The following is a 20,687-nucleotide window of genomic DNA, read 5'->3' as shown; positions in this document are numbered from 1 at the left end:
TTTTGCTTTGTTTTTCTATTACTCTGTATCTTGAACAGCAGTCCCTCATTCTAGGCACATGAAACTGCTTTGTTCAACATTCCCTGTCCGCTTTTTTCCCTTCTCTGGCTCCGTGTCCTAAACAGCTTCTTTAATTAATTTTAAAGAGCTAAGCACACAGTAGGGACTTAATATAATATTCATTCATATTTAATTTATAATTCAGTACTCTGCCAAGACATCCACTGAGTTACAGTGGACCAGCATTTCCTAGTATTCCTATCCAGAAGAATATCAGCCTTGCAAGTTTGAGAAACGAGTTGTTGAATTCATATATCTCTTTCAGAAAGTCTTGGTACCCCCTATTACTCTAAAGACTGACAAATCTTCCAATAAAATAAATTATTTTAACTTTCTTTAGCCCAACATTTCCCAGTCTTATTAGACCAGGGAACACTTCTAGAAGCAATTTAAAAAGTTTTAGCTTAATATCTATTTATTCCCCTGGGACACATTATAGACCAGATTTTCTCTTAAAGATTGTGTCCATTTGTACATACCCCAACCATTGACTATTAAATTAATATTGACTATTAAAAAGAGAGTAGCCAGCAAAGTTCCTGGTATTCACTGGGCACGTTAAAATTTGCTGTTTTTCAAACCAGTTTTAGTTTTATATTAAAATTGAGAAGAGAGTTCCTATACACTCACTCACCCAGTTTCCCCTGTTGTTAGTGTATTACATTAATATGCTACATTTGTTATAATTAGTGAGCCAGTTATTATTAAATCCATACTTTATTCAGATTTCTTTAGTTTTTATCTAATATCTTTTTCTGTTCCAGAGTCCCATACAGAATACCAAATTACCTTTTTGTTTTGTTTTGTTTTGTTTTTTGTTTTTTGTTTTTTTGAGACAAGGTTTCACTCTGTTGCCCAGGCTGGAGTGCAATAGTATGATTATGGCTCATTGTAGTCTCTTCCTCCTGGGCTCAAGTGATCCTCCTGCCCCAGCCTCCCAAGTAGCTGGGACCACGAATGCATGCCACCATGCCCAGCTAATTTTTAAAATTTTTTGTAGAGACAGGGTCTCACTATGTTGCCTAGGTTGGTCTTGAACTCCTGGCTTCCAGTGATTCTCCTGCCTCGGCCTCCCAAAGTGCTGGCATTACAGGCGTGAGCCATGGCGCTCAGCCCCCATTACCTTTACTCATCATATCTCCTTAGGCTCCTTTTGGCTGTGACAGTTTCTTAAACTTTCCTTGTTTTTGATGACCTCAATAGTTTTAAGGAGTGTTGCTTTCGTATTTTGTAAGATGCCTTTCTATTGAAATTTGTCTGATATTTTTCTCTTAGGTAGACTGGAGTTATAGGTTTTTGGAGGAAGACTACAGATATAAAGTGTTATTCTAATTACATCACATCAAGGGTGCACACCATTATCATGACTTGTCACTGTTAATGTTGACCTTGATCACCTGGCCAAGGTAGTATCTTCCAAGTTTTTGCACAGTAATGTTGCCCCCCAACTCCCATCAGCCACCACTCATTCAATCCTGTGTTCTTTGGAATGAACTCACTATTTGCAGTTATGTTGCCTCCCATCCCCCCGGCCTTTGAGCATGGTGTGTCTACATAAATGATTTTGAATTCCTCTGTAAGGGAGATTTGTCTCTCCTTCATCCATTTATTTGTTTAATTATCTGTTCATATGAATATGGATTTGTGGAAATTACATTTTTAGTAAACTAATGAACCACAGTCTACAGCCTGTGAAAACTCCCTATTATTGTTGGAACCGAAGTACTGTTAGGAAATAGGTGCTGGGGATGGAAAAAGTCATGGAGGGCTTGGGGAGGCCTTACCCATTCACTTAAATGGAATTGTGCCTCTGACACATTAACAAAACCACATATTCTAAAAAATTCACCTCAAAGTGCCAAGAGTAGAGATACCTCCACTGAGAAGTTTGTTGTCGAAAGGAGAGAGGAGGGAGATACAACAAGAAACGCATACTAGCCGAAGATATTCTTCTTCACCTTCCAAGACTCACATGTGAACTGAGGAGAAGGATTTGAAGGGAGCCAAGTAATTTCTGTGTCTTCCTAGCACTTAGGTGTGACTTCTAGCCACTGGGCGCCAGCTGTTCTTTCCATGATCTACTCAGAGCCAGCCCCTTGCAGGCCTGTCCGCTATGGTTTTCGTAGTTGAGCCTACCCTTATGGTTTTGTTTTCTTCACTTGGCATTGTATATGTGTATGTGTGTAACTAAAACCTATTTTAAAAATGAGGGAAGCAAGCCCAGGACATAGAAGAGCAAGCCACTGAAACCTGCCGAGGCCAAAAAGACGTTTGTGAAACATTCCAGGAGGTGCTCTGGGCAGCCTCTGATTCACTGGCCTCCCTCATCGTCTGCAGCTCCTGGCTTAGGGAAGCTGCCAAAAGCACTTTCTCTACGAGCTGTGGCTCTCTGTTTCCTGGTGTTGCAAAAGGCAAAAGTTCAGGATTGAAGCCTTTACCTTTTCCATGTTTGCTTCTTATATAGCAAATCTTGTGCTGGCTTAGAATTGAGTCCGGGCGACTTTCTTGCCTTGAGCATACACTTAGAGCTTTGTAGAAATGACCAAGTGTATATTGCCCCAGGCAGCACTAACCAGAGGGTCATGTCCTACGTAAATAACCCCACCCCCCGCCCCATTCCCGTGTTGACTGTTTGCTTCACCAAGGACACAGTCATTGAATCAAAAGTGTGTTTGTATCTCAGATGCCTTGGCACTGGCGGTTTTGTGTGTGTGTGTGTGTGTGTGATTTTTTCCTTTATATTGAATAATGCCAATTAAATGTTTCTGGTCACACATCTGCAGAGCATGGTTTTATCAATTTCCAAACACAGAAGAGAAAGCCAATTATTAAAAAAAAAAAAAAGAAAAAGGGAAAAGGAGATGAAAACAATGAAAAAGAAAAAGATAAATGGGAATCTAAATTTAAATTCTGACTCTCTTGGAAGGAAAAACAAAAAAGATGTCCCTGCTTTAGCTTTGATGCATTCCTGCTTCTATGGAGAAATCTTCTGTTTGGGTTATTCCTTTCTGGGGGGACTGGCAACGGTCTAGAGCTGACGAGGTCTTTAGCCTTTTTGAGGCAGTTTGTGGCAGTCTGCCCTTAATCCGGCTTGGCCTCAGATACTGCATTTGGAATACTCTGCCTTTTCTTTTCTTTTTTTTTAAGCTGGAGTTTCGCTCTTGTTGCTCAGGCTGGAGTGCAATGGCGTGATCTCGGGTGACTGCAACCTCCACGTCCCGGGTTCAAGCCATTCTCCCTCCTCAGCCTCCCGAGTAGCTGGGATTATAGGCACCTGCCAACAAGCCCAGATAATTTTTTGTATTTTTAGTAGAGACGGGGTTTTACTGTGTTGGCCAGGCTGGTCTCGAACTCCTGACCTCAGGCAATCCATCTGCCTCGACCTCCCAAAGTGCTGGGATTACAGACGTAAGCCACCTCGCCTAGCTCTTTTTTTTTTTTTTTTAATGGAACTATTGTTCTCTCCCTAAAATGTTCTGGAATATTATCCCAAGGAGTATTTTGTTCATCACAAATTTAGATGTTTTGCCTTCCCATGCTCTGCTGAGGACTTTGTTTCTCTTTTTCTCTGCCTTAGGCCTCCTCTGCCCTCAGTGTCAAAAGCGGTGGTTTTAAGGAACCTCAACCACAAGTGAAGCTCATGAGCTCCAGTGTCAATGATGGTTCAGTATGGTTTGAAATTAAACAACTAGAGGGAGCATAGTGGCAAGGTGAATGGTGGGTTCCTGGGTTGAGACAAGTCACCTGGCTTCTAGGATACCGACCGGTTTTATGACCTTGATAAAATTCACTTTCTCTGAGTTTTGGTTTCCTCATCTCCATAAGGAGAGGTTGCACCAAGCAGACTCTCAGCTTTGACAGTCTTGATTATATCCTAAGCTGTATTTGTTGTTTTTCAGATAATTTGGGGCTTCTTTCTTTCACTCTACCAACAAAATATTGAGTTTGAAGCTTACATGGCCATGTTTTTGTTTTATGCTTTAAAATTTTTATTTTCACTTATGTTTTACATTAAATGATAAATTCATGTGGGAAAACTTAAAATAGTACAGAAAAGGAAAAGGAAGATCTCCCATCCCTGATACCCAGTTTCTTCTGCCGAGGTGCTCGCTGTTGCCGGTCTCAGGTGTGCCCTTCTGTGGAGATTTGCTGCACATGCATAACATGCCCCACCTTTTCTAACCACAACTAGTAACATGCTCATAATACAGTTCTGTCCTTTGGGTTTTTCCCCTTCTGGACGATCTCTAAGAAACATTGGAATCATCATACAGAATTTCTCTAAATGGGTGGACCATATCTCCCACTGATGGACATTAAGATCATTTTTAATCTTTTGCAATTATAAACAATACTGTTTTGAATATCCTTGTACAAACTGCTCTGTTGATATGTGCTTTACTTTGAAAACAAAGCTATCATCTAAGTTCCACCCTTTTCCAGACTCTACAGTTAATAATGAGAGATGTTTAGTCTGAAAGATCAAATCTAAATTAAATGGAAGAAACCAGTGTTTCCACCATTACCTCCTGTGAATGTCTCAAGTAGGGGCAAGTGTTTTAAAGACTCACATAGATGTGGCTTGGGAAGAGCTCCTCTCCAAGTCTGAAACTCCTCCAGATTAGGATTCAGGTATTAATAAAATCTGCTGAGCAATATCTGGTTGCTATGTGGCTTTCAGTAATACAGTACACTGCTTGAGAGTACGCCCAATGCAGCATTTTGTACACCGACAAGGGCAGTCTACCTAAGTGACTGATGATAGTCCTACTAGAATTTGTTATGTCAGTAAGTCACCTGAGTCAGTTATAAAATTTTCCAAAGTATCTAAGTTATAAAAATTAACATAGGGCTGGGCGCGGTGGCTCATGCCTGTAATCCCAGCACTTTGGGAGGCTGAGGCAGGTGGATCACTCGAGGCCAGGAGTTGGAGACCAGCCTGCCAACATGGCAAAATCCTGTCTCTACTAAAAATACAAAAATTAGCGGGGCAGGGTGGCACACGACTGTAATCCTAGCTACTCGGGAGGCTAAGACAGGAGAATCTCTTGAAACCGGGAGGCAGAGGTTGCAGTGAGCCAAGATGGCACCACTGCACTCCAGCCTGGGTGATAGAGTGACACTCTGTCTCAAAACAACAATAACAACAACAACATAGGGTTAACAACCTGTGCCTTTGAAGCCTTGTTTTCCTAACCTGGGTATTTCTGATATCAGAACTATTGGGCATCTTTTTTGTCTCTAGTAGTTGTGTCAGATACTACCATATTAAATATAACTACTAGTAAGAACATACTTTTATAGAAGGTTCAGAAATGCCTGTTCCTTGAAATAATTATCATTCTTCCATCTGCGCCTCTCTTCCCTGGCTTGAAATAGGTTTCATGAATTAAACCCTTCTGGATGTCTGGATTTTGTCTTACTTGAATCTGTACTTAAGGGAACTTTTCCCCTGCGACACCATCTGTGCAAAACCCTTTACCTCCCACCCCAGGCCTTCAAGTAGAAGTTGTAATTATACTATAACAAGCTCTAGAAGTGAAATACTCATCTCAGGTTTTTTGGCATCAATCATGACTGTGCTTTTTCTCTTGTTCTTAATCTAAGAGTGTAAGAAATGCCCAACTGATTTTATTCATTCATCAGATCGTTTCCTGAGCTTTCCCTGTGTACCTGGGATTGTGCCAGGAGGTGAGAGTCCTTGGTGGCAGGCTTAATTCTAAGGGGGAAACCTAAACTGTCTAGGCAATATACACTGATATCTTCCCTTTTACTAGCATGTTATTGGGCCCAGAGTTGTAAATCTATCCAGGCTTTCCTCGAGCCCTTCCTCTTAGTAACGCAAGCAACATTTGGGTCCCTATTTTGATGACCTGCTGTGTGTGTGGTACTTTCTTGCAAACAATTGAAGGCAGATTGTCTTTACAGGGTTGCTCTGAGGCTTCAGCAGTTGTTCCTCTTCTTCAGTCTAAGATGTGACAGAAGGTGGCTAGGGACAGTTGGACGGGGTACAAGAGGATCTCGATTTTGGTCTTGGCTCTACTTGCCACTAACCAGGGCACATCCCTTAACCTTTCTGGGTTACAGTCCCTATTCCATAAAATAAGGGGATGGACTAGATAATCTCCCAGGTTCCTTATGTAGCCTAACAGTTTCATGTTCCATAAGCCACTCATAAAAATCCATCTCATTTCTTCACACCTCTCTTCCACCAGTCCGTTAGTTCTCATGAAGGCAGGAGCTATTTTTCCAAGTTTAAGCCCAGTGCATGACACGCAGCAGGAATTGCAATAACAATTTCAGTGAGCGTATGGACAAAAAAGAACATTTTTATCCCACCCTCACCTCCATCCTGGAGAAATCTTTGCCATTGAATTCTTCCTCAAAGAAATCTATTCTTCTCTAGAAAAGCTTCAGTGTTGGTATTGTCTTTCAAATGTACATATATGTCGTTCAAATATACACATATATTATACATTTAATACATATATTTAATATATGGAGATTTGGGCTACTTAAATTCATTTAAGGAGATTTACTTGTAAATCATATTTCTACATAATATGCATAGCAAACTGAAGATGAAAAGTATTTAACTTAAGCCACCAGGCGTGGTGGCTTCCACCTGCAATCCCAGCACTTTGGGAGGCCAAGGTAAGAGGATTGCTTGAGCCCAGGAATTCAAGACCAGCCTAGGCAACATAGTGAAACCTCGTCTCTATGTTTAAAATATATACATATATATGAAATATTATAAAAAATATACATATATTATAAAATGTTTTAAAGTTAATGATACCAAATATAGCAAAAATTGAGAATTTTTTTCTCAGAAATGAAGTGAGTATATAAAATTATACCTTGTTTTCTTTGACCCTGACCTAGGAGGAAATAGACTGAAAAGCATGGTTTTCTTTATTACATGACATTGCCCAGCAGAAGTTAAGCAAATTTGACTGGTAAACAATTTTGAGAAAAACTAGCACTTTTATAAATGCATTTTTGCAGAAATACCAATTATAAAATTTATTTAAGGATTTTAAAATTATTTTTGTAAAGTGAAGTTCTTTTTTTTTTTTTTTTTTTTTTTGAGACAGAGTCTTTCTTTGTCACCAGGCTGGAGTGTAGTGGCGCGATCTCGGCTCACTGCAACCTCCGCCTCCCGGGTTCAAGCGAGTCCCTGACCTTTGCCTCCTGAGTAGCTGGGACTACACGCATGCACCATCATGCCCGGCTAATTATTTTGTATTTTAATAGAGATGGGGTTTCACCATGTTGGCCAGGATGGTCTCGATCTCCTGACCTCATGATCCGTTCGCCTTGGCCTTCCAAAGTGCTGGGATTACAGGCGTGAGCCACTGCTCCTGGCCGTAAAGTGAAGTTCTATATGCTGAAATTTCACTGGTTGTTAAATGCAGATAAATAGAGCATTTTAAAAAAATTGAAAATATTTCTCATGCGTTTATCCAGGCACAACATGTTTAGCATTTCTGCATAATTTCTTTCTCACTAATTTCTCCCTTTGAAGAAACAAACATTTTTTTCTCAGTCAGATATTTGTTCCTGAGTTTAGCTCATAGCTCAGGCTTCCTTGCAGCATGCTTTTCAAACAAAGGATTAATGGAGTCCTCCTTATATGTCGGCTCCTGATCTAGGTGCTTTGTGTTACATGTTGTTTGTCAATTCACTGGTTTGTGTACCAAAGATCACATGCCCTCCTTACCTCTGCCATAAACACACAAATTAACTGAGAAAGTATACACATGCACACACACACACACACACAAATGATCTGGTGAAATTATCTCATAACTTGTGATAACCTTTGTGGAATTTGCTTTAGACCACTATGTTCTATGTAAGGCTTAAAATGTACTCTAGACAGGGAGGTGTGAAATGAGATTTTAACAGAAACAAAAGCCGAGGCTAGATGAGTCAGGATTGGGGCCAGTATTCGAGCCTCCGTGAATTGAATTAAGGTAATAATTACTTAAACAGTAATGGTTAACAGGAAAGTACTTTGGAAGGAATCTCAGGAATCTATACTCCAAAGCAGAAAACATTCTGATGGTCTATTTTTGATAAGGTATTGTGGGCCCTGGTCATTAATCTGTATGTTCTTCCCTCTTGCAGTGATGAATCACCAACACCAGCAGCAGATGGCCCCCAGTACCCTGAGCCAGCAGAACCACCCCACTCAGAACCCACCCGCAGGGCTCATGAGTATGCCCAATGCGCTGACCACTCAGCAGCAGCAGCAGCAGAAACTGCGGCTTCAGAGAATCCAGATGGAGAGAGAAAGGATTCGAATGCGCCAAGAGGAGCTCATGAGGCAGGTATGGCTTTCCATGGTGTCTGGTGGAGGCTCCCTGGCCTTGGTGCCAAAGCTGATGGGTAGGTAGCTGCTTACCTTCAGGGTAATTCTTCTAGAGAAGAAGAGACAATAGGGCTCAAAGCCCTACTCCAAGCCTCTTGATTAAAATCCAGTTTCTTCTCTCAGTGTTCTGCCTGCCTTTTCAGAACGAAGCTTAAGGGTACAAGGACGAGCTGTATTAGCATGGCTGCCTTTGGCTTCCACTGCTAGTCTTTAGAAGGAGAGAAAGGAGAAAGTAGAGAGACAAGAGTCTGTTGTTGTGTAACAAATTATCCCAAAATGTAGTTGCTTAAATAGCCATTTCATTATATCGCACAATTTTGTGGGTCAGAATTTAGAAGGGGCTCACCTGGGATATTCTTCTGCTCTACATGGCATTGACTGAGGTCATTTAGTGGTATTCAACTGGTAGGTGGGTTGGTCTGGATAGTTCACAATGGCTTTACCTAAGTGGGTGGCATGATGGTGAGGATTGCTGGAAGACTGGGCTAAGCTGGAACAAAAGCCTGGGATCTATGGTGTGGCGATCTCAGAGTAGTGGTACTCATTCCATAGCAGCTGGGTTTTCAAGAAAAAGCATTCTAAGAGACAGGAAGTAGAAGTTGCCAATTTCTTGGGGCCTAGCTCTGGAAACGGTCGTGGAGTCGCTTTTGCCACACTCTCTTGGTCAAAGTAGTCACAGAGAACCCCCCGAGATTCAAGCAGATAGTGGAGTGGATGTTCCTCAGAAGAAATGACAAAGGATCTTGGTCCACCACAGAGCATGAAAAAGAGGGAAGCTGAAGGGAGAATGAGAAGGGAAAGTGGTTTGTATATGGACTCCAACAGAGTGCTCTGCAAAACTGCCTGGGCATCAATCAGGCACTTTTGTACCATACTCCATTCATTCAGTTTTCATTCCGTCAGTCAGGAGTGTGTTGCCGTGTGCCCTCTGTGGGTCAGGCTCAGTGCTGTACTTCAAAAACGAATACAAGAGAATTCCTAAAAGAACCCACAGTGCTCTCCCTGTTTCAGTGGCTTGGTCTATGGAAGAGCAGAATTCTTTCTTCTGTGTTGCTAAACTAATATAACCCATGTTTTCAGGTCTCATGCTTTTTTTCTGGCTACATTTTTGGGGAGAAAAGCTTCAGTTTATTGTTTTAACTTTTCAGACTTTGTTTTGTGACTCACATGAAGCAAGATACATGAATAACTTCCTTTTGCTACTTTAGAGAAATTAGAGAAATAAGTAGTTTTAACATTCCAGAGAACTTTCTTGGAGGAAAGGACCGAGCATGTTAGGGTAAATGCTGTTTTTTTAAAGCTACATTTGATACTTTCAAAAATACACATTGACTTCCATGAATGAATAATGTATTTCTCATCAAATACATTCCAGGATATAAGAAATCTATATTGTGTGAGGTTTAAAATGCATGGTAAATTAAAATCATTTCTCAGATATAGTCTTTGAAAATAAGGAAAATGAATATAAATTGTGCTTTGTTGCTCAGCTGAACTTTCCTCCAAATTTGAGGAATACAACTTAATAATTAGGTAACTACAGTTGTGTCTTTTACCCTGAGGATTTATGTTTGAACTTTCACGGTTATTTCAGGCTAACGGTTGTTTATACTGATTTTAGATATATAGTGTCATGTTTCTTGATGGGAAGTAATTGTATTGTTAATTGTTTTCTGTCTTTGAATAATAATTTTATTTGGAATAATTTTTCTGTTTTATAATGTAAGGTAAATTAAACAGTATCCCAACAGCATTTTATACATTCTCAGTTTTATACTTAAATGAGCTTTAGTGAGTTTTTTCTTTACACAAAGTTGTGACCATTCTGCAAAGAATGACTTGCTTCTCTGTTTTTGCGGGTGTGTTTCTCTTTCTCTTGCTTCTCCTCCTTCTTTCCCACAGAAAGTATTTCTGAAAAGGGGTGGGAAAAGTGCCCCAAATTGTTTCCTTTATTCCAGCTGTAGGTGCCTTTGAACCAGGATGTAGTACTGATGGTTCATATTACAGAAATGCCAACCAAGTTCCTTAAATGCTGATCCTTGGAGGCTGTGGAACGTGGGGCGTTGTGCTGCATCATAGTGAGCAATTGCATTGTTGCATTGTATATGAAGCAGGAGAAAAGATTGTCCAGATTTGCTCACAGGGACTCATGTAGTTCAGCCTTGACTCTGTGTGTGTGTGTGTGTGTGTGTGTGTGTGTGTGTGTGTGTGTGTAGTTAGGAGGAGATGGAATGGTGGAGTGGTTGGTTCTGGTGTTCTGATGCCTTTTTATTTTTGTTAGGGAGTACAGGAAAAGGTCTAAATAGACTTTTTAATCATGGCAGATTTTTTCCCCATGCAGAAGCAGCATGCTCCTGATTGTCAAAGATATGATTTAAGACCATATAATAAATGGCATTGGAGTGTTCTATAATAGTTTTCTGGGGCATTTGCCAGGACACCTGATTATTCAGTATTCAGGTGTGGGCTCTGTGTTTCATCTTGGTGGATTTTTTGAACTCTTTTGGTGATTTTCTGCTTCACTTTTTGAACCTAAGCCATGGCAGCAGCAGGGAAATGGACTGGAATTAAAAGTGATCTTTGGCTCACTTGTTTAGTTGCCTTCCAGCATCTGGTAGGAATTTGGAGAGATGGGGGAAGTGGTGGTTCTGGTGAAATTTAAAGATTATCTGTACACTTCTGTTTGTTCTCTCTGTCCTACCCCTATGTCCTGGGTAGTCAACAACTGCCTGAATATCCCTTGCTCAGTGGACAGTTTGTAATTACACTGGCTCTCCTCTTGCTTGTAGGCGGCCTTAATTGTACAGCCTGTCTTCTTGGGGCCCAGGCCCTGCAGGTAGGCCTAGACCTACCTGCCCTTCTACCAACTGAGCCTGTCTGGGAGCAAGGCCCCAGGCTATGCTCTCTTTCTGTAGTAGAAAGGGAGGTTGGCAAAATTTAATAAGTAGATGAATTTATCCCCTAATTACTAATAAATTATCACGCTGTCTATAGTTTTATCATTCTTGAATGATACGACGAATCTGAAAGATCCCTGTGGAGAATATGCTATATAAATATTGTTTCATTTTTCTTCCTGTTCCTTCTGCTATGCCGTTGTTCCACTAGGCATATAGTTTGATGATGTTGTGCCATGAAAAAAACAACTCCTTGGTCCTTGTTGCATGATTTGATGTATACCACAATGCCAAAGGGTCACCTATTAACTCATTGGCATTGAAATCATGCGAGAACATTAACAAAATGGATCTGAGGAAACTTTGATTACAAATCTAAAGTGAGCCTTCATTATTTCAGTATGGAAGCTCATATTTTTTTTCCTTCCTTCATTCCTTTATCTCTTCATTCATTCAATCAATATTTATTTAGTAGAAAATAACAGACAGGTAAATGGGATGTGACTGCCTTCAGATAACTTGTATTTTTGCAGAAAAGGAAAAATAATTAACTTTAATCCAAGTTAAAGACCAGAAGAGTAAATTAAAACCATTCCCTGCTTCACAGGGGCCCAGTGGCTACCATCTTTGACTTTCATTACTGGAACTGAGACCAGATGCACCTGAGCAGAGTTCTGTGAAAGTGAGCATCAGATACTCCTTTTTCTTTCCAGTGACCCCTCAGGTTACTGGCTACAGAATTAGGATCAAAAGAGCCAGTAAGGTTTGGTATCTCTGCTGATAAGGAATCTTCTGAAGCAGGAGAATTTCCTTAAATGCAGTCCCTCCAATCTAGCATTGGCTGGTGTAGCAACAGAGCTGAGCTACTTGTATCTGATAATTGATGAATTATCTTGGAATGCGGCAGACACTTCAAGTGGAGGGGTACCAGGAATCTAACATGGAAGACATAAAGAGTGCATTTCTGTGAAAGGAAGTCTTTTGTCTGTGATAGAGTTTTCTTTTATTTTTACTGAATTTCCCAAAGGCTGTGAGGCTACTTCAGGTTCACCAAAGAAATGGCAACTCTAGAAAAAAAAAGCAATTCTTATTGAAGTTTTGCTTTCTCTTCATTTTTTTAAGGAAATTAAAATTTGATTTGTTGAGTTTTTTTAAGTAGAAAAAAATTTTAATTTTTGACTAAGCGTGGTGGCTGACGCGTGTAATCCCAGCACTTCGGGAAGCCAAGGCGGGCAGATCACTTGAGGTCAGGAGTTCGAGACCAGCCTGGCCGACATGGTGAAACCCTGTCTCTAGTAAAAATACAAAAATTAGCCAGACATAATGGCGGGTGCCGGTAGTCTCAGCTACTCAGGAGGCTGAGGCAGGAGAATCTCTTGGACCTGGGAGGTGGAGGTTGCAGTGAGCTGAGATCGAGCCACTGCACTCCAGCCTGGGCAACAGAGTGAGACTCTGTCTCAAAAAAAAAAAATTAAAAATATAATTTACTGAGTTACTTTAGTGATTAGCATTTAAAAAAGTGTTTTTGCTAAGTGCAAGAAACCAGACTTCCCCCCAAAACTACATCCTGTATGATTCCATTTATGTGACGTTCTGGAAAAGCAAAACTATGGGGACAGAGAAGAGATGAGCACTTGCCAGGGTTGACAGTACAGAAAGAGTAGACTCCAAAGGGGCAGCACTGAGGAATTGTGGGGCAGATGGCACAGTTCCGTGTCTTGGTTGTGGTGGCTATTTCACAGCTCTACATTTGTCAAAACTCAGACATGTATACCACAAAGAGTGAATTTTACTGTATGTAAACAAAAAGAATAATAAAAGAAAACGAATTGCTACACACAAAAAGACAAAACGTATGTTTATGGTACGGAATGTATAAAATACTAAACAACAAAGAAGGAAATTATAATCACCTATACTCTTACCTAGAAAGAGTGGCTGTAAATATGCTGATGATTTCTTTCTAGTCTTTTTGTATGTATCATGTGTATCAATGTGTCTACTTTGTTTTTTAAAACACAAAAGTGGTAGCATACTTTAATACTGCTTTGTTGCCTCTTCTTAATATATTGGGAAGTCATTTTTTTATTCTGTGTCAGCCATGAAGTTGTGCTGTGACTTTGTATGTACCCATTCCAAAGCGCCTAGAATCCTTTCTACAACAGGCCGTACATAAATTTTTAAATGTCATGAGCCACACACACCCACAATGACTACAGAGTATTCTGTTGTTACAACTGAAAAATTCAACGCAATATTTGCTCAGTATCCTAAAAGGCACAATTGCAACTTTACCAAATGAAGTGGGAAATCGTAGTCACAGGTCAGACATTGAGAAACAGGCTTCTCAATGCCTGTTTATCTAAAAGAACAATTCCTTGACATGAAAACAGGCATATGGCTTTACCTGAAGAGAGTATTTCTTTTCATGTGTGTTATTCATTTAAATATAACGGTTTGGGGCCATCTTTCTGGAAGATTTTAACCTCGAGGACCAGGACCTGGAAGACGAGTAAGTGGCAAAGCCTTGGCTCCCCCTTGTCCCTTCACGGGGGCTGCCTTGTAGAGAAATCATTATTCCCAAAGCAAATTCAGCCCTGCTTTTACCCTCAACCTTTTCTTTCTTTTTTTTTTTTTTTTTAATTTGGGGGTTGGGGGACAGGAGAATGCAGTTTGTCAAACAAAAATGCTGACTAAGCCTGGCCTCGGGTCGCCGGGGCAACAGGGACGAGAAAAGAGGGAGGCCTCGGAATTCTTTTGGCAGGTCTGTGGGATTTCTGCCAGGCTTGACAGCCACCAGGCGCGGCGGGCCAGCTGGCTGACCTCGCACAGCCATCCTGACAGAGGGCTCCTGGAGGGGGACACACCTGGCTGTGAGCAGCACTGGCCTGGGGAAGGTTCTGAGGCCCCCCCCTTTTTTTTTTTGTCATGCAAAGAATAGCTATTTAGCGAGCTAGGAGAGTGTCGTATTGGAGCAGATCATGAAGCATAAATGTAGGCTATTTCATAGCCTTTGCTTCAGAACAGGGGACTATTTAACTTTTAGAAAAGCATTTCATAGCATTAGGTTTCAGAGTTGACTGGGTTAACAGAGGTCACGTAGTCTAATATTTTGTGAATCTATAAATCCCTCCATATAAGCTTGGCTATTTAAGTTCATTCGTTCATATATTTGTTTTACAAATGCTCTAGGCATTAAAAGTACAGCTGTGAACAACAGACCCCAGCCCCTTCCCTCACAGAGCTTCCATTCTAGCTTGTGTCAAGCGTTTTATTTGCTTACATGTCCCAGAAATAATCCATTTTCCAAAATGTCCCAGTGTGCCCTTGTTGTTGAACAATAGTATCAATTCAAGTCTTTTTTTTTCTTTTTCTTCTCTTTTTGAGACACAGTCTCACTTCATCACCTAGGCTGGAGTGCTGTGGCACAATCTTGGCTCACTGCAACCTTCACCTCCCAGGTTCAAGTGATTCTCATGCCTCAGCCTCCTGAGTAGCTGGGATTACAGGTGCGCATCATCACGCCTGGCTAATTTTTTGTGTTTTAGTAGAGACGGGGTTTTGCCATGTTGGCCAGGCTGGTCTCGAACTCCTGGCCTCAAGTGATCTGCCCACCCTGGCCTCCCAAAGTGCTGGGATTACAGGTGTGAGCCACTGCACCAGGCCTCAGCCTTTTTTTTTTTTTTTAAGTGAAGACAGACGAGTATCTAAATTATAATGTTTTCTTTAATGTGATTTGAAAGGACAACAGAAACCAGTTGTGGAATAATACAAATTTGCTTTATGCACTCTGAGTAAAAAGAGCAACAAATAGACCATAGATAATAATGACAAACTTAGTAAATGGCTTCCTAAAAGTATCGCAGTTTCGATTGTTCTTTTGTAGGGACAGTCTGGCAGCTGAGCATTAGTGATGAGTTGTTTCAAAAAGGCAGTCTCCGGGAAGTGTGACAGTGCATTTTAGAATCCCTTGGCACCGAATTAAAAAGAAATATACATCAGTAATTTTTTTTTGTTCCCCCCGCCGTCCCCCGTAAAGAAGGTAAATAATTCGGCATTCTCTCTCTGAAGTCCCTCAGGGTTTTGGCAGAGAAAGCAATTTCTCTGCATCCAGAATAACTATTTTAATGTTAGGATTTCAAAATACTGTCTTTTTTTTTTTCATTTTCTTTCTACTCACCCCACCCTTTATAATTAAAACAATCCAATCTTCCATGTTTGTAGAGTCCCTGGCCACACACACTTAAATCAAGCAGAGCAGCCTCTGAAGAGCTGATTGTCATTTGTTTCCCTTTTGAAGTGCATTCTGGTGAGGGCAGGAGCTGGCTGGCAGAGTGTTCCCTCAGCCAAGGCGGGACAGAGCTGCAGATGCTTTCAGCTGCCGTTTACTTTCTCACCTCCTCTGTTGGTTTATTCCACAGGCAAGCTGCAGGCCAAGGACCTAGAAGGAGAGGAGGTTTGAGGTTTGCTTCCTGGGACACCTTCAGCTCACAAATAATCATTTGTCTTTCACATCCTTACTTCTTCAGCTATTTTACACATCACCCGTCCTCCAGCTGCTAGGAAAGGGTATTTTTTAGCCCATAAATAATTACTCACTTCAGAGAGCTAGATAGTTGACCACAAACTCACCAAGAGATTCTTGAGCCCTTATTTTGCAAGTCTTTCCACCCCAAGCTTGGACATAGACAAAAATAAATTTGTTGGAGGAGGGTTGGGTCAGGGTCAGCAGGGAGAGCTTTCCTTCTGAAAAGTGCCCTTGAAATTGGAACTTGTAACTTTGCTTGATGGGTTGTGAATTCCTAGGACATGAGCTCCACTCATATACGTTGAAAACTATCATTGAATACATCCAGTTCATTCTGTTGCCCTGTTCAGGGAGGAAAACTATGTTCAGGAAAGTTAAATCGGCTGTTTCATTAAATTTCCTCTGAACTGTCTGAGGTAGAGGGGTTGGTCTTTCTATTTTATTGCTGGGAAAACAGGCTCGGAAAAGTGAAGTAACTTGCCCAGTTCTCACAGCCAGCAGGTGAAAGGGTTGACAATTTGAGGTCTGTCAACCTCAACCCTCAACTTTTCTTTCTCTGCCACACTGAGACTTTGCCACACTCTTAACTCTGAGCCTCAGTTTCCTCATCTGTAAAATGGAGACAATTGGGTTGTCACGAGGAAGAGATGAAATAACACGTTTTTCTTTTCTTTTCTTTTCTTTTTCTTTCTTTTTTTTTAGACAGAGTCTCATTCTGTTACCCACACTGGAGTGCAGTGGCACTATCTTGGCTCACTGCAACCTCCGCCTCCTGGGTTCAAGCAATTCTCCTGCCTCAGCCTCCCAAGTAGCTGGGACTACAGGCACATGCCACCATGCCCGGCTAATTTTTTTGTATCTTTAGTAGAAACAAGGTTTCACCATGTTAGCCAGGATGGGAAATAACATGTTAAAGGGCTTAGAACAGTGTTTCACACACAGTAAGCAATATGCAATTTTTAGCTAGTATCTCTGCCTCCCACACCATTTAACACTATCAGCAGCTTGTTCTGTTAACTGCGTCAATGTGCCAGGTCCATTATAAGTACGCTTTCTAATCTTTATAGCATCCCAGCAAGATCAGTCTTATAAACCACCTTTTTTTTTTCAGGTGAACAAACTGTCAAGAAAGGTTAAGAATTTAGTTCAAGATGCCACAACATGTAGTAACTGAACTGGGATTTGAACTCCAATCTTTCTGGTTCCAAAGACAGTTTTGCTCTTGTGCCATGCTGCCTTTTCGGTGCCAAGCTCTGGACCCCAACTTAAACCCCAACTACTGTTTCAGAAATCCGGTGGCTAATAGCCTGGAGAATTGAGAAGAAGGCAGTTCCTGCCCTGAACTGATAAGTAACTAGAAAGCCCTTCATCGTATCTGCCTCAAATCTAGGCTAGAAGAGATCTTCCTTCTTTCCTGTGACAGTTCATTAATAATTTGAGAGCCACTGTGTGCCCTTCTAGTCTTCCCCTGTGGTTAAATAGCCCCACTCTTCTTCATAGGATGTGATGCCCTGACCCCTCTCTATCCTGATTGGTCTCTGGTCACTCTTTGAAAAGATTTCAGTAAGATAAAGTGTTGGGTAGGGACCTGGATGCAGCCTTGCACTTGAAGGTTGATTGGAGGAAGAGGTCAGTTGGACTAGCTAGAGAAGCAATGATGACCTGCTTCTTGAGACAGAAAGCAGGTTTTGAGCTTGGTCTAGGAAACTGAAGGTTTGTTTGGAGGGCAGGGTGGACACAGAGGGGACCCTGGAAGGGATCTGTGAATATACATGTTTAACTGGAGCACAGTGGGAAATGAGTGACAAGCCAGCTTAGCGTTTGTTTTCCTGCCTCGACTAGAGGGAGCAGAGGAAGGAAGGGGTGCTGAGTGAAGGCAGCTGCACCACCGATGCTCAGCGGCAGAGGCCTTGAGTTATGCCCTCAGCCAGCCTTGACCAACTGTCACCCCTCTGTTTCCATGGAAGCTTACTTCATCCAGTGCCTGTCTTTGTCTTTGCTTCAGCTGCTTTAGTTTCATCCATTTTGACTGCTGCTGTTTGGTCTAAGTCAGACGTTTGCCTTTCATTTTTACCCACGCAAGGGTAGTGGATGTCATGTGGCAGTCCAAATCCTACTGGGTCTGGGCTTTAATTTTATACCTAAATTTAGTTTAAAACAAAACCCTCCCCTGTTTGGATGGCAACATGTTGGTGAGGTTAGCCCTTTTATTTTCAGACCTCGGGTTTTGTACAGTTTCTTTTTCTCTTTCAGTTCATGAGTTGGAATAGGGAAGTATTTTCATTCAAAAAAAGGCTAGAATTTTTAAAGTTCTAAATATAGAACTCGTATTATAAAATTTAAGTGAAGTAAAACATCTCACTACTTTCCATTTATATTCGAACAAATTTTATGTTATATAAAAATGGTTTATAAACCTCTCCTTGTTTAAAAAAAATTGTTTTCTTAGCCTTGGTGACCATTATGATGAATTTCACACTTTGGTTTAATCCCTCCAAGGTGAAAGTTGACCAGGAAGAAACCTCTCACCACTTAAAGTGGATCAGTTCCACATGACAGTGTGACTTTTAAAATTGTTTATTTTGTTTTTTTTGAGATTGGAATTCAGAAAATGAAATAATAATAATTCCTTCAGTATTTATTATGTGATCTTGAGTGCCTGGCACTGTTCTAAGCACCTTGTAGTGTTATCCCGTTTTATCATCACAGCAGCCTTCTTGGGTGGGTGCTCTTATTATCCCCACTTTACAAATGAAGAACAGAGGGTTAAATAACTTTCTGTTAGATAGCAGGACCAGGTTTCCAATTCAAGCATCTAGCTCCTGGCCACTCGGCCCTCCTGTTCATCCTATGTGAGGAGCAGGAAAGAGTGCAGCAGGACCATTTCTTGAGGATGGAGCCTGCACCTGGCTAGTTGGGTTGTATACAATAGGCTATTATTTCTCTCATATTTGTGGCTGAGGTGAGATTGCATGTTCTTAGTTTATATTTCCAAGTACCCACTGTATGCCTAGCACTGTTAAGGTAGTTGGGTACAGGAGTGAACATGACAAACAAGGCCCCTTCCCTCGTGGAGCTTACATTCTAGTAGGAAAGACAGAGAATGAAAACTTAAGTTGCACTGAAGAAAATTAATGCAGATTAAGAGACAGAAAATGACAGGGGTGAGGCCATTTTAGACAGGGGTGAGGTAGGAGCATCTCTGAAGAGATGGCGTCTGTAGGAGGCAGGCGTTAAGTGAGGGAATAAGCTTTAGGAAGACTCGAGGAACACCTTGCAAGCAGATAGAACAGTTGGCGCAGGTGCAGGAGGTGGGAGGAGCAGCAGAGAAACCAGGAGACTGGAAGGGGGTGAAGGAGGGGAGCACATCAGAGACATGGGAGGAAAGGGTGGCCAGGGCTGTTATGCAGGGTGTGGTGGTCTGCAGTGAGGACCTGCCTCTATTTACCATCCAGGTGGAACAAGAAGCAGGTCGCTTTAGAGCAGGGGGTCACGTGAGCTTCACTTTGGCTGCTATGTGGAATAACTTGTGACCTAAGAATGATTTTGGAATAATCTTAGACAAAGTGTCCTATTATAAATAATAACTTTCTAACTCAGACTGGCCTAATTTATATTTCAAAGCTATTATTCAGGCCGGGTGCAGTGGCTCACGCCTGTAATCCCAGCACTTTGGGAGGCCAAGGTGGGCAGATCATTTGAGGCCAGGAGTTCGAGACCAGCATGGGCAACATGGCGCAACCATATCTCCACTAAAAATACAAAAATTAGCTGGGCGTGGTGGCACATGCCTGTAGTCCCAGCTACTCGGGAGGCTGAGGCACAAGACTTGCTTGAACCCGGTAGGTGAAGGTTGCAGTGAGCTGAGATCACGCCACTGCACTCCAGCCTGGCTGAGAGAGTGAGACTCCATCTCAAAAAAAAAAAAAAGCAATCATTCCGGGTACATTCAACACCCTTTCTGATTTTTCTCTTATTTGTTAGTCAGTTGAAGGTAGAAAATGATACTGTGAGCCCCCTACAGACAGAAGGCGGCATTTGCCCTTAGGATGACTTGGTGATTAAGTCTTCAGGGTAGTTAGGGAAACATCAGTGCTGGAGACTAGAGCTTCTGTTCTCTTTGATTTAGAACAGATGGAACAAATGTGAAATGGCACAGTGAAACATTTCCTCCAATATAGTATAGGTTTTTCAGCTTTGGTTATCATAAATAATCCTTTAAATTTTATTTATATATTTTATTTATATATTTAGACACACACAAGCATTATTTTATGTTTTATTTACTGGAAATAGCTAGGAGTAATTTAAATTAATAGGAAAGTTTAGAACTATTTATTTTATATCTAATTTTTGATATTTGTTCTTATAATTTTATATATTATTACAGATAACAATTCATGTGTGTTATATATAGTGTATTTTTTTATCCCATGAAGTTCCAGAAATGATTCTTACCATATATAAATTTAGAACTCCTGGAAATTGCAGATTCAACTTGTATTTTTTTTTTCTTTTTTTGAGACAGAGTCTCGCTTTGTCGCCCAGGCTGGAGTATGGTGGTGCAATCTCGGCTCAATGCAACCTCCGCCTCCCCAAATTCAAGTGATTTTCCTGCCTCAGCCTCCTGAGTATCTGGGACCACAGGTGCATGCCACCACACCCGGCTAATATTTTGTATTTTTAGTAGAGACAGGGTTTCACCTTGTTAGCCAGGGTGGTCTTGATCTCCTGACCTCGTGATCCACCCGCCTCAGCCTCCCAAAGTGCTGGGATTACAGGTGTGAGCCACCGCCCGGCCTCAACTTGTATTCTTAAGACATAT

At 41.3% G+C, this 20,687-nt stretch overlaps 1 protein-coding gene across 9 annotated transcripts in view; it reads left to right on the top strand.

Annotated features, from left to right (window-relative positions):
• The window catches only part of WWTR1 (WW domain containing transcription regulator 1), a 207,554-nt gene that overhangs the window by 174,058 nt on the left and 12,809 nt on the right, over positions 1-20,687 (top strand). For all 9 annotated transcript variants that reach the window (NM_001348362.2, XM_047447933.1, XM_047447931.1 and 6 more), the window contains one exon: positions 8,194-8,396. In NM_001348362.2, coding sequence (NP_001335291.1) covers positions 8,194-8,396 — 203 coding nt within the window. The remainder of the gene's footprint in view (positions 1-8,193; positions 8,397-20,687) is intronic.

This window comes from Homo sapiens, chromosome 3 (genome assembly GCF_000001405.40).
Source record: "Homo sapiens chromosome 3, GRCh38.p14 Primary Assembly".
Lineage (NCBI taxonomy): Eukaryota > Metazoa > Chordata > Mammalia > Primates > Hominidae > Homo > Homo sapiens.
The sequence above is the reverse complement of the archived record's forward strand: the minus strand, read 5'-3'. Positions and strand labels throughout refer to the sequence as shown.